General features: G+C 43.2%; 1 protein-coding gene across 6 annotated transcripts in view; it reads left to right on the forward strand.

Moving 5' to 3' along the window:
• The window catches only part of AK4 (adenylate kinase 4), an 84594-nt gene that overhangs the window by 40756 nt on the left and 31160 nt on the right, over window positions 1-12678 (forward strand). For all 6 annotated transcript variants that reach the window (NM_203464.3, XM_017000613.2, NM_001005353.3 and 3 more), the window contains one exon: window positions 2403-2522. In NM_203464.3, coding sequence (NP_982289.1) covers window positions 2403-2522 — 120 coding nt within the window. The remainder of the gene's footprint in view (window positions 1-2402; window positions 2523-12678) is intronic.

Genomic DNA, 12678 nt, shown 5'->3' on the forward strand with positions numbered 1-12678 from the left:
TCGCTTGAACCCGGGAGGCAGAGGTTGCGATGAGCAGAGATCACACTACTGCATTCCAGCCTGGGTGACAGTGAGACTCCATAGCAAAAAAAATAAAAATAAAAGAAAGTGGGGTCAAATGATTCTTGAGCCTTTTTCTAGTAATATAATTCCGCTTTGTGTTTTTATTTTTATTTTTATTTTTTGTTTGAGATGGAGTCTTGCTCTGTCGCCCAGGTTGGAGTGCAGTGGCGTGATCTTGGCTCACTGCAAGCTCCGCCTCCTGGGTTCACACCATTCTCCTGCCTCAGTCTCCCGAGTAGCTGGGACTACAGGCGCCTATCACCACACCTGGCTAATTTTTTGTATTTTTAGTAGAGACGGGGTTTCACCGTGTTAGCCAGGATGGTCTTGATCTCCTGACCTCGTGATCCACCCACCTCAGCCTCCCAAAGTGCTGGGATTACAGGCGTGAGCCACCGCGCCTGACCTACTTATATATTTTTTTGAGATGGAGTCTCGCTGTCGCCTGGGCTGAAATGCAGTGGCACGATCTTGGCTCACTGCAACCTCCGCCTCCCAGGTTCAAGTGATTCTCCTGCCTCAGCCTCCTGAGTAGCTGGGATTATAGGTGCCCGCCACCTAATTTATTTTTTTATTTTTATTTTTTTTGCGATAGAGTCTTGCTCTGTCACCCAGTGCAGTGGCGCAGTCTTGGCTCACTGCAACCTCTGCCTACTGGATTCAAGCGATTCTCCTGTCTCAGCCTCCCAAGTAGCTGGGATTAGAGGCACCCACCACCACACTCAGCTAATTTTTGTATTTTTTAGTAGAGATGGTATTTCACCATGTTAGCCAGGCTGGTCTCGAACTCTTGACCTCAGGTGATCCGCCTGCCTCGACCTCCCAAAGTGCTGGGATTACAGGCGTGAGCCACCACACCTGGCTCTTTGTGTTTTTTAAAAAACTGAATTGGTCTGTTGAGAATGTGATTCTCTCTCTTTTTTTTTTTTTTTTGAGATGGAGTTGTTGCCCAGACTGGAGTGCAATGGCTCAATCTCGGCTCACTGCAACCTGCGCCTCCTGGGTTCAAGTGATTCTCATGCCTCAGCCTCCCGAGTAGCTGGGATTACAGGCATGCACCACCATGCCTGGCTAGTTTTGTATTTTTAGTAGAGACAGGGTTTCTCCATGTTGGTCAGGCTGGTCTCATACTCCCGATCTCAGGTGATCTGCCTGCCTCGGCTTCCCAAAGTGTTGGGATTACAGGCATGAGCCACTGCGCCCAGCTGAGAATGTGATTCTTAGCATTCATTATAAGTTCCCCAGAGAGCAGAGGATTTCATTTGTGGTAAAACACATACGCGTGCACACACACACACACACACACACCCCACACATTTAGTTCTTAGAAATGTACAGATTTAAACTGATAGTTTGTTCTGCTGAACCTAACTCACAATTTCTACATATAGGAAATTAATGTTTTAAATGAAGATAGAAGCAGTTTTCTCCTGAAAGTATTTATGTGGTTTTGTTAAAACTTCACATCCTTTTATGAACTTGGCATTCCACTAACAACACTCAGCTGCTTTTACAATTGTGTCAGCAAGGTTCCATCTGCTTATATTGAGGTTGATGAAAAGAAGTAAAGCTGTTGTTGTTTGTATTATGTGGCATTCTTTTTAGATCACTGGAACTTTTTTTCCTTTGGTCTCTGTAAGAAATGGTTGTGCTTCTCATCTTCCTTTAGTCTTCTGTACATTGTGTGGTTGATCATGTTCCTTGTTACCATAAACTGTTGAGAGGCTCAGTGCCCAATTTGTGGCCTACCTCTAGGAATTATCCAGGGCTTCTCTTTATCAGCTTTTTTATGTACCATCCTGCTTCTTGACTTTATTTTCTACTCTTATTTTTTTCTTGACCAATTTATCTTTCTTTCTTTCTTTCCTGCTTTCTTGGTTTCTTTCTTTCTTTTTTTTTTTTGAGACAGGGTCTCCTCCTGTTGCCCAGGCTGGCATTCAGTAGTGCAGTCAATGAGCTTGAGCTCCCTGCAAGTGCAAACTCCTGGGCTTAAGTGATCCTCCCACCTCATCCTCCCAAAGTACCAGAAGTACAGGCACGAGCCACACACGTGGCCACTGTTTCTTTCTTCCTTTTTTTGGGGGGGGGGCGGGAGGAGGGGTGGTGCTATGCTATCTCAAAGAGCTGCTTTTATAATTTTTTGGGAGATAAATGTGTTAAATAAGCAACAGTCCCACCTTATTGACGTGAATATTTTAAAAACTTAAAACATGTCTACAACTTCCTAGGAATTTCTTCCCACATCAGGAAGGATGGAGAGAAGGCAAAACTAAGAGTTGGTAAGCTTTGTGTTTGGGAAATTTTCTTGAATACCTCTTTTTTTCTTGTCTTTTTAATAGAAGTTGGTGAGATGGCAAAGCAGTATATAGAGAAAAGTCTTTTGGTTCCAGACCATGTGATCACACGCCTAATGATGTCCGAGTTGGAGAACAGGCGTGGCCAGCACTGGCTCCTTGATGGTGAGTTGAAACTGTGGGTAAACCGAATTTCTGGGAATAGTCAGTTAAGGTCTTGCACACTCCCTTAACTTCTTACCGAATGGAAAATGCCTTATTTTCTAAACTTTCTGTCATTTATTTAATATTGCAATTTGGCAACATGATAGGAACCCATTGTGGTGAAGCCTCTTATTTCTTCTGTCTCCAGATCACCATCATGAGAACCACTGACTTGAAGCAAATATTCACTAAATTTCTGTTATTGCTTCAGCCCTTTTGTTTCCGTAAGCCATCCTGAGTATAACTCCTCTTCAATCAGAGGTTCTTTCATTCACCACAGGGCACACAAAATACAATTATGAGTTATTATTTTTCACCTGTCAGATTAACAGAGATAGAAGATCGGAAAATCCTTTATTGAGTATGTAGGAAACAAATACTGTTGAAAGTATAAAATGAGCAACCTTTGTAGAGCAGTTAGCATTATATATACTTTCTGATCCAGCAGTTCCATTCTGGATTTCTGCCTAAAGATGCAAGGAGGTTTATTTCAGCATTATTGGTAAATAAGAGGACATTATTACTGACACTATAAAAGAATCATTATATATGTGGTATTCTGAGGACACAAAGAAGAAAATTATTCTGTTGGTAGGAGGAGGGGTTGGAACAACTGTATGGAAAGTGATGAATAGATAGATGGTCCTCAGATAGATGAGTGGGGATAGGGAAGGTAGGTTTTTTTTTTTCAGCAGAGGGACAATGTGAACAGGGTGAAAGGGGAATGAGTTATCTTAGTATTTTTTCTGAGCCTGCAAGCAGAGGTTGGCAGAGGAAATCCTGGGGTGGATAGCCTTTGATTTTGCCATAAAGATGGTGGAACTGGATTTTGTTGGCTTTAGGGAGCACTGAAGAGTTGTTAAGTAGGGGTATAATATGATCATATTTCTCTCAGAAAGACTATTCTGTTAGCAGCACAGGAGAGATTAGGTGCTGGGGCATGGAGGAGAGTTGTGACTACAAACCAGAGATCATTGGAATAACTGGACTAAGGGATGTCGAAGGCCTGAATTTAAGCAATAATAGCAGTGGGATGGAAAGGAGGCACCATTCATAAGAGAGTGGATTGAGGAAAAAGAATTGATAGGAGTTGTGGCTGATGTTAGGTACTACAGCCCCAGGGTTTTCTTTTATTGCCTTTCAGGCTTTTTGAGTTTCTCAGCTTTCATCACCCTCTCTGCCCTTACCTAGGCATGTTAATTTCTCTAGACTCTACTTTTAACTCACAGAAGTTAGCCCTTTTCTTAGTCTGTTTTCTGCTGCTACAACAGAGTACTTTGGACTGGGCAATTTATAAAGAAAAGAAATTTATTTCTCATGGTTCTAGAGGCTGGAAAGTCCAGGAGCATGGTGTCAGCATCTGATGAGGGCCTTCTTGCTGCATCATCCCATGGCAGAAGGCATCAAATGGGGAAGAAGTGCATGCCTCTGAGAGGGAATGGGAGCCGAACTTATCCTTTTATCAGGAGCCTATTGTTTTATCTAGAACCCACTTCTGTGATAAGAGCATTAACTCATTCATGAGGGCAGAGCCTTTGTGACCTAATTACCTCTTAAAGGCTCCATCTCCCATAACATTTCATTGCCAATTAAATTTCAACATGAGTTTTGGAGGGGACATTCAAACCTTAGCATTCTGCCCCTACCCACCTCCCCCTCCAAAACAACTCGTGTCCTTCTCACATGCAAAATATATTCATTCTATCCTATTAGCCCCCAAAGTCTTAACTTAGCATCAACTCAAAAGTCCAAGCTAAATCAGACATGGGTGAGACTTATAAAGTACAATTCATCCTGAGACAAATTCCCTTCAGCTGTGAGCCTGTGAAATCAAAGCAAGTCATCTACTTCCAAAATGCTATGGTAGGAAGGTGTATGATGGACATTCCCATTCCAAAGGAAGAAATAGGCAAGAAGAAAGGGGCAGGTGGTCACCGATAAGTCCAAAATCCAACAGGGGAGACATTAAGTCTTAAAGATGGGGAATAATCTCTGTGGACTCCATATTCTGCCTCCTGGGCACACTGGGATGGGAGTTGGGCTTCCAGGGCCTCAGAAGCCCCACCCTCTGTGGCTTTGCTGGGTTCAATCCACTCAGCAGCTCTCATGGGTTGGAGTTGTATACTGGTGGATTTACAGTTCTGGGGTGTTGACAGTGGCCCACTCCCATGGCTCCATTAGGCATTGCCCTAGTGGGGACTCTGGGGCAGCCTTGACCCTACAGTTCCACTGGGCATTGTCCTAATGGGGGCTGTCTGCAGTGGCTCTGTTCTGCAATAGATTTCTGCCTGGGCCTACCAGGGGCATTCATTGAAATCTAGGTGGAGGAAGCCATGCTCTGTAGGTCTTGCATTCTGTGAGATGCCACCAAGGCTTATCCCTTTCTGAGCAGGTGGAGCCACGCCTGAAGCTGTTTGAGTTATGGTTGAGGAGGCCAAGGAATGCTATCCATCTTCTGAAACCATTCTACCCTCCTAGATCTCTGGGTCTGTGATGGGAGGGGCAGTCTGGAAGATCTCCGAAATGCCTTTTAGGTCTGTTGTCCATTGTCTTGATTGATAGCACCTGGCTTCCTTCTAGCCATGCTAATCTCTTTAGCAATAGGTTGTTTGACCACACACTTAATATTCCCTCTGGAACATGCTTTTCCACTCTTTACATGGCCATGCCGAGAATTTTCCAAATTCTTCTGTTTTGCTTCTCTTTTAACTATATGGTTATCCCTCAGTATCTGCTGACAGTAAGGGGTGTGGGAAGGGATTGGTTCCAGGACCACTCCCTCATACCAAAATCCATGCTTACTCAAGCCCCACGGTCGGCCCTGTGGAACCCATGGGTATGAAAAGTCAGTCCTCCATGTGCAAGGGTTTTGCATCCTGCAAATACTGTATGCATTTGGTTGCGAATGTGGAACCCAGTGATATGGAGGCCCGACTGTATTTATTGAAAAAATCCTTGGCCCATGTTGTGGCTCACACCTGTAATCCCAACACTTTGGGAAGCTGAGGTGGGCAGATCACTTGAGGCCAGGAGACCAGCGTGGGCAACATTGCAAAACCTCATCTCGACAAAAATTAGCCGGGTGTGGTGGCATGTGCCTATAATCCCAGCTACTTGGGAGCTGAGGTGAGAGGATCACTTTAGCCTGAGAGGTTGAGGCAGCAGTGAGGCATGATCACACCATTGCACTCCAGCCTGGATGACAGAGTGAGACCCTGTTTCAAAAGAAAAGAAAAAAATGTTTGTATAAAGTGTGCCCTCAGAGTTCAAACCCGTATCTTCAATGGTCAACTGTATTTGATTGTCTCTTTGCTCTCACATTGCATTTTATGCAATTAAAAGTAACCACACAGCAGCTTGAAAGCTTTACTGCTTAAGATACTTCTTCCACCACATATCCTAGTTCATTGCTCTTAAGTTTTGCAGTCCATAAAGCCCTAGGGCACAGACAAAATTTGTCAAGGTCTTTGTAACCGTATAACAAGAATAACCTTTACTCCAGTTTCTAATATGTTCTTTTCCATTTCTGTCTGAGATCTCATCAGAATGGACTTTACTGTCCAATTGCTGCTAATATGCCAGTCATGACCACTTGAGTAATTTCTTTTTTTTTTTGAGATGAAGTCTCTGTCGCCCAGGCCAGAGTGCCATGGCCTGATCTCAGCTCACTGCAACCTCCACCTCCCAGGTTCAAGCAATTCTCTTGCCTCAGCCTCCCAAGTAGCTGGGACTATAGGCATGTGCCACCATGCCCAGCTAATTTTTGTATTTTTAGAAGAGACAGGGTTTCACCATGGTGGCCAGGCTGGTCTTGAACTCATGACCTCAGATGATCCGCCCACCTCGGCCTCCCAAAGTGTTGGGATTACAGGCGTGAGCCACACCATGCCTGGCCCACTGAGTAATTTCTAAGAAGATTCAGACCTTCCCTACAGCTCCCCTCTTCTTCTGAGTCCTCATCAGAATTGCCCTTGATGCATCATTCATGGCAATCTAGGGTGTTACTAGCCGCTTCCTCCAAATTCTTCAGCCTCTACCCATTACTTGGTTCCAAAGCTATGACCGCATTTTTAGGTATTTGTTATGGAAACAGCCCCACTCCTTGGTATCCATTTTTTGTCTTAGTCTGTTTTGTGCTGCTATAACAGAACACCTCAGGTTGGGTAATTTATAAAGAAAATAAATTTATTTCTCACAGTTCTGGAGGCAGGGAAGAGTAAGACGATGGTTCTCACATTTGTTGGGAGCCTTCTTGCTGTGTGTTGGAAGGCAACACATGATGAGAAGGCTCACACAAGAGAGGGAATAAGGGGTTAAACTTACGCTTTTATCAGGAGCCCACTCCTGAGATAACCAACCCATTAATTCATCCATGAGGGCAGAGCTCTCATGACCTGATCATCTCTTAAAGGCCCCACCTCCCAATACCTTTAAATTGGCAATTAAATTTCAACATGAGTTTTGGAGAGAACATTCAAACTATAGCACCCCCCAGTGCTTTTTGTCTGGGTATTCATCATGACTGATAAACTTTGACTTTGCCACCACGTAACAGTAATTTCTCTAGTTTACATTTTTAAATTGTGAGTCTTCTCATCTTGCAAAATGAATTTGTATAGTTTTAGGGAACTTAAAAATCTGTGTTTAAAAAGGATCATCTGTGTTAAACTCCCCTGGAAAGAGGGTTAGTGTGATAATTGAGAGCATGGACCCGGGTGCTGCCAGACTGCCTGACTTGAATCCCCGCTCTGCCACTTTCTGGCAGCCTGTGTGACCCTGGGCCTCTGGTTGCTCATGAAACACAAATTAGCAAAGAGGGGCAAAGTGAGCAAATATATGTAAAGTGCTTAAAAGAGTGCTTGCCTTATATAAGTGCTGTATGAGTGTTTGTCATTATTTTGTGACTAGTGTACAGGTCCTGAAGTTTTTTGGGTGGGGGTGACTATTTGAAGTGTTCACTTCAAAAATAGCTCTAAAAGTATTTAGCCAGGCAGAATAAAAGTCAGTTTCAGTTATGGAATGTTTTCTCTATCTTTTCAGTGCTTGCTTTTGCCATGACTTCCTCTCAGGGTTGAATAACTGAAGTTCTTTGACATCATAGGCCTGTTTTAGTGAAGTACGTCATCCTCCCAAGTGATTTGGTTAGTATTTTTCTCCTTGAAAACCCATCTGGTCACTTTTTCAGTTGCGATTTTTCTTTAAAGCTCTGGAATAAATCCATTTGGCAAGGTGTGGAGTGCGAGGGATGCCTGGTTCCTATGTTCAGCTTTAGACTCCTTATGTTACACAGGCACATGCTCTGCGGAGGACGTGCCTGTTGAGCGTGCTAAAGGTGATTGAATGTGGAAAGGTCGAAAAAGGCATTCTGATGACAGATGACTCATCATCTTGGTCCATATGGCTGTAGAGAGGCATCCTGCAAATGGTGGGTGGAAATGAGTAGAGTGGATCCAAGCCAAGGGAACCCCAAGTGGGGATGTGGGGAGGGGAGGGAGGGTGAGTGTTCTGTGGTTTGGTCAGCTTTGCTCTTGCTAAAAAAAAAGTTCAGCACTACCTTCCCTTCACTGTGCTTTCCAGTTGGGTAAGAAATATTCTTGTTTTGTTTTGTTTTGTTAGAGATGGAGTCTCTCTCTGTCACCCAGGCTGGAGTGCAGTGGCATATCTTGGTTCACTGCAACCTCTGCCTCCTGGGTTCAAGCGATTCTCCTTCCTCAGCCTCCTGAGTAGCTGGGATTACAGGTGCACACCACCATGCCTGGCTAATTTTTTGTATTTTTAGTAGAGATGGGGTTGCACCATGTTTGCCAGGCTTGTCTTGAACTACTGGCCTCAAGTGATCTGCCTGCCTCGGCTGCCCAAAGTGCTGGGATTACAGGCATGAGCCACTGCACCTGGCTAATTTTTCACTTTTTTAAAAAAGGGTCACATATTAGACCGTTTTCACACTGCTGATAAAGACATACCCGAGACTGGGTAATTTATACAAGAAAAAGGGTTTAATGGACTTACAGTTCCACGTGGCTTGGGAGGCCTCACAATCGTGGCAGAAGGCAAGGAGGAGCAAATCACATCGTACCTGGATGGCAGCAGGCAAAGAGAGACAGCTTGGCAGGGAAACTCCCATTTTTAAAACTATCAGATCTCATGAAACTTACTGACTATCATGAGAACAGCACGGAAAAGACCAGCCCCCATAATTCAGTTACCTCCTACCAGGTTCATCCCATGACACGTGGGAATTGTGGGAGCTACAGTTCAAAGATGAGACTTGGGTGGGGACACAGCCAAACCACATCAGGCCAGCAGTGAGGTATAGCCATAGAGAGAGATGTATTAGTAACTGTTTTTTTTCGTTTCTAAACTTGCCTGCTTACTTGTGCCTTGAAATAGTAATCTAGAAGTTCCCCAAATCGGTTCTAATTTATCTTTATGTACCAAGATGTAGTAGAATTATCTGCCATATGATTTTAGGGGTAACTATCAAAATATTTTAAACTGGTATTTCAAAGTTTGGTTTTGTAGAAAACAACCTTAAATTTTGGAATTGTAAATGAAATGTAATTTAATCCTTTTCATTGGTAATAATGATAACCTTTAGCACGAGAGTCATCATTTTGTCCATAGTTGTATTTAGAACCTGGTTTGTTTGTTTCATTCTGTGCAATGTTGAACACTAACAAGTGCTTTCTGAAGGTAATTCTGTTTTTAGCATAAGTCAGAGTTGTTTGAATGTGTGCAGTGTTTGTGTCTATTTTCCCTGAGAGCTAAATGATTTCAGACTTGAGATGTTCCTGGCTACGCACTCACTTAGAGCCCTTGGTGTAGGTGTATGATCAGAAACTAAACTATAGATGCTGGAGCCAGAGTATTTTGCCTTGATTTTGCGAATGTGTTTTACCATACGAGGCTAGTACATAACAACTCTGACCTTATCCTCTCCACATTTTTCCTTCTGATTCAGACCTCTGAGGAGTGTCACATCCCACTGGGCGACATATGTCTATAGAAAAAAGCCAACAGTATCTTCTGAATCACATCTTTTAGGAAATGCCAAGGGTAATTTTTTTTCTTCTGTTGCCCTTGTGAGTCTAGGGTATCTTTCAAGAATAAAGTGTATAATAGATTTGTTTAGAAGGTTACTGAAGAATTCTGCTTTCATAATTAAAAAAACAGCTTTTTCTTCCTGTGTGTATGTGTTTATGTGTAGGAGGGCAGTAGTTTATCTTAGTCATTTATCTTTAAATATTTAGCCGTGAAAAATCATAGCCACATAACCCTTCTATCTCAGGTTGTTACTAAGGCAGTGATGTATATTCTGGTATCTTGAATGGAAAGTTTAAAGCAATTGTGGTGATTTCTAAAGAATGAAGAATAGTTGTAAAATTTGTGGAGCTCTACTAGGGTGCTGTGGCCATCTATGCCTGCCAAATGTGGATTGCACAATTAAAATGTTTGGTTCCTCACTGGGATTGTTCTTCTTGACATAACCATGATTTGCCCCTCTCATTGTAGCTCTGTTCATTCAGTAAGCATTATTATATCTAATGGGTCCTGAATATTTCTAAAGTGAATAAAGTGCAAGTATGACTAACTTTGCACTAGGCTGGTGACAGTGAAGAAGAATGTGTGGAAAAGAAGGATTAGAGGTAGACTAAGCTTGTCAGGGAGCTCCTGACATAGGAGGGTTCAGAGACATATATTCAGCCACACATGGTACAGGTGAGGTGTTCCAAGAGGTAAGTGGAATGATTTTTGCAAGTAAGGAGTGGCATTTTTGGTCAAAATGATTGCATGAAAAAAGATGGGTGTGTGTTTAGATTAGTCTTAGCGCTACATTTTTGGAAACTCTATCCATGCCCCAAGACAATGTAAATATGCCTGACAGTTTTTTTTTTTTCATCATCCAAAATTCTGATTTGAGGAGACAGTTGGGTGTGGTAGCTTATGCTTGTAATCCCAGCAGTTTGGGAGACAGAGGCAGGAGGATCACTTGAGCCCAGGAGTTTGAGACCAGCCTGGGCAACACGATGAAAGCCCTCTCTACAAAAATATAGAAAAATTACCTGGGCATGGTGGTGCATGCCTGTCTATACTCACAGCTTGTCAGAGGCTGAGGTGGGAGGATCACCTGAGCCTGAACCTGGGGAGGTCAAAGCTGCAGTGAGCCGAGATTGTGCCACTGCACTCCAGCCTGGGCAACAGAGCGAGACTCCGCCTCAAAAAAAAAAAAAAAAAAGAATTTGGGCAGTGACCCTTAGATGAATGTTATTTTCTTTGTTGGCATTTTCCCCCCTGGACTTTGAAGGTAGAGTTTGATCAAGGCATTTCTTTACTGTGTGTTTGCATGAAGGATCAGCAGTTATTTGTTGAGTTTGGTTTGCATAAAAAAATTATTTTTGGGCTGGGTGCGGTGGCTCACGCCTGTAATCCCAGCACTTTGGGAGGCCGAGGTGGGCGAGTCACGAGGTCAGGAGTTCGAGACCAGCCTGGCCAACATGGTGAAACCCCATCTTTATTAAAAATACAAAAAATTAGCTGTGCGTGGTGGTGGGCGCTTGTAGTCCCAGCTACTCGGGAGGCTAAGGCAGGAGAATCGCTTGAACCTGGGAGGCGGAGGTTGCAGTGAGCCGAGATCGTGCTACTGTACTTTAGCCCAGGTGACAGTGCAGTAGCCCAGGCGACTCCATCTCAAAAAAGAAAAAAAAAATTTGTAACCAGATAACTGTAACAGTGTTCCCCTGAATGCTGTGTCTTTAAGTTTGTGTTGTAAAGTAGGTTTGACAATTTTTATCATGTTAGAAGAAAGAATTGTAAAACCCAAGACCTATGTTTGATTATATAGCTTGAGTATCTCTTATCCAGAATGCTCGGGACCAGAAGTATTTTGGATTTCAGATTTTTTGGATTTTAGAATGTCTGCCTTATACTTACTGGTTGGGTATCTCTAATCCAAAAAAATGCAAAATCTGAGATGCTCCAATAGGCATTTTCTTTGAGGATCAAGTTGGCACTCAAAATTTTGGATTTTGGAGCATTTCAGATTTCAGATTTTCCTATTAGAGATACTCGTACTTTCTAACATGATAAGTATTTGGATATTCTCAAATAAAATAATTTGTAGACATATAATTAATTTCAAGTTAAATAGTGCACTAAGAGAGACCACATGACTGCTAGAAGAAGATGGGCAATAAGAAGAAAGTGTATCTACTTCACATAAGACTAGGTAACAGGTTTTTGTTTTGTTTTGTTTTGTTTTGTTTTGTCAGAATTTTGTTTTTGCTGCCCAGGCTGGAGTGCAATGGTGCGATCTTGGCTCACTGCAACCTCTGCGTCACGGGCTCCGGTGATTCTCCTGCTTCAGCCTCCTGAGTAGCTGGGATTATAGGTGCCTGCCACTATGCCTGGCTAATTTTTTGTATTTTTAGTAGAGACGGGGTTTCACTCTGTTGGCCAGGCTGGTCTCAAACTCCTGACCTCAGGTGATCTGCCCACCTCAGCCTCCCAAAGTGCTGTGATTACAGGCGTGAGCCACCGTGCCCGGTCTAGGTAACAGTTTTCTAAACAGAGTAATACTGGTTGAATTACACAGGAAATACCACTATTCAGTGGGGTTAAGTTATGAAGAGACATTTGGGTGACATGTGACCTGAAATTTTAGCACACTGCCATCTTCTTACACACTTTATCCAAAGTACACAGCCTGATCAGACTTTGTATCTAGCTGCTGATTGCACTGAAGCTATTGCAACTCCTTTGTTAATGCTCCCAGGTGATCGCATGCATTTCTTCTGGTGCTAAGCATTCATAATTTTCGATAAGTATTTATTGATCAGCAGCTGTGTGCCAGACACCACAGTAGAGCAACAAAGAGACTAGGTGGGGCCTGGCTCTCCTGATACTCAGAATCCAGTGGTGTTTTCAGCTGGGTTTTGTTTTTTTTTTTTGAGACGGAGTCTCGCTCTGTCCCAGGCTGAGTGCAATGGCGCGATCTTGGCTCACTGCAACCTCCACCTCTTGGGTTCAAGCGATTCTCCTGCCTCAGCCTCCCAAGTAGCTGGGACTACAGGCAGTGCCACCACGCCCAGCTAATTTTTGTATGTTTAGTAGAGACGGG

This window comes from Homo sapiens, chromosome 1 (genome assembly GCF_000001405.40).
Source record: "Homo sapiens chromosome 1, GRCh38.p14 Primary Assembly".
Classification (NCBI taxonomy): Eukaryota; Metazoa; Chordata; class Mammalia; order Primates; family Hominidae; genus Homo; species Homo sapiens.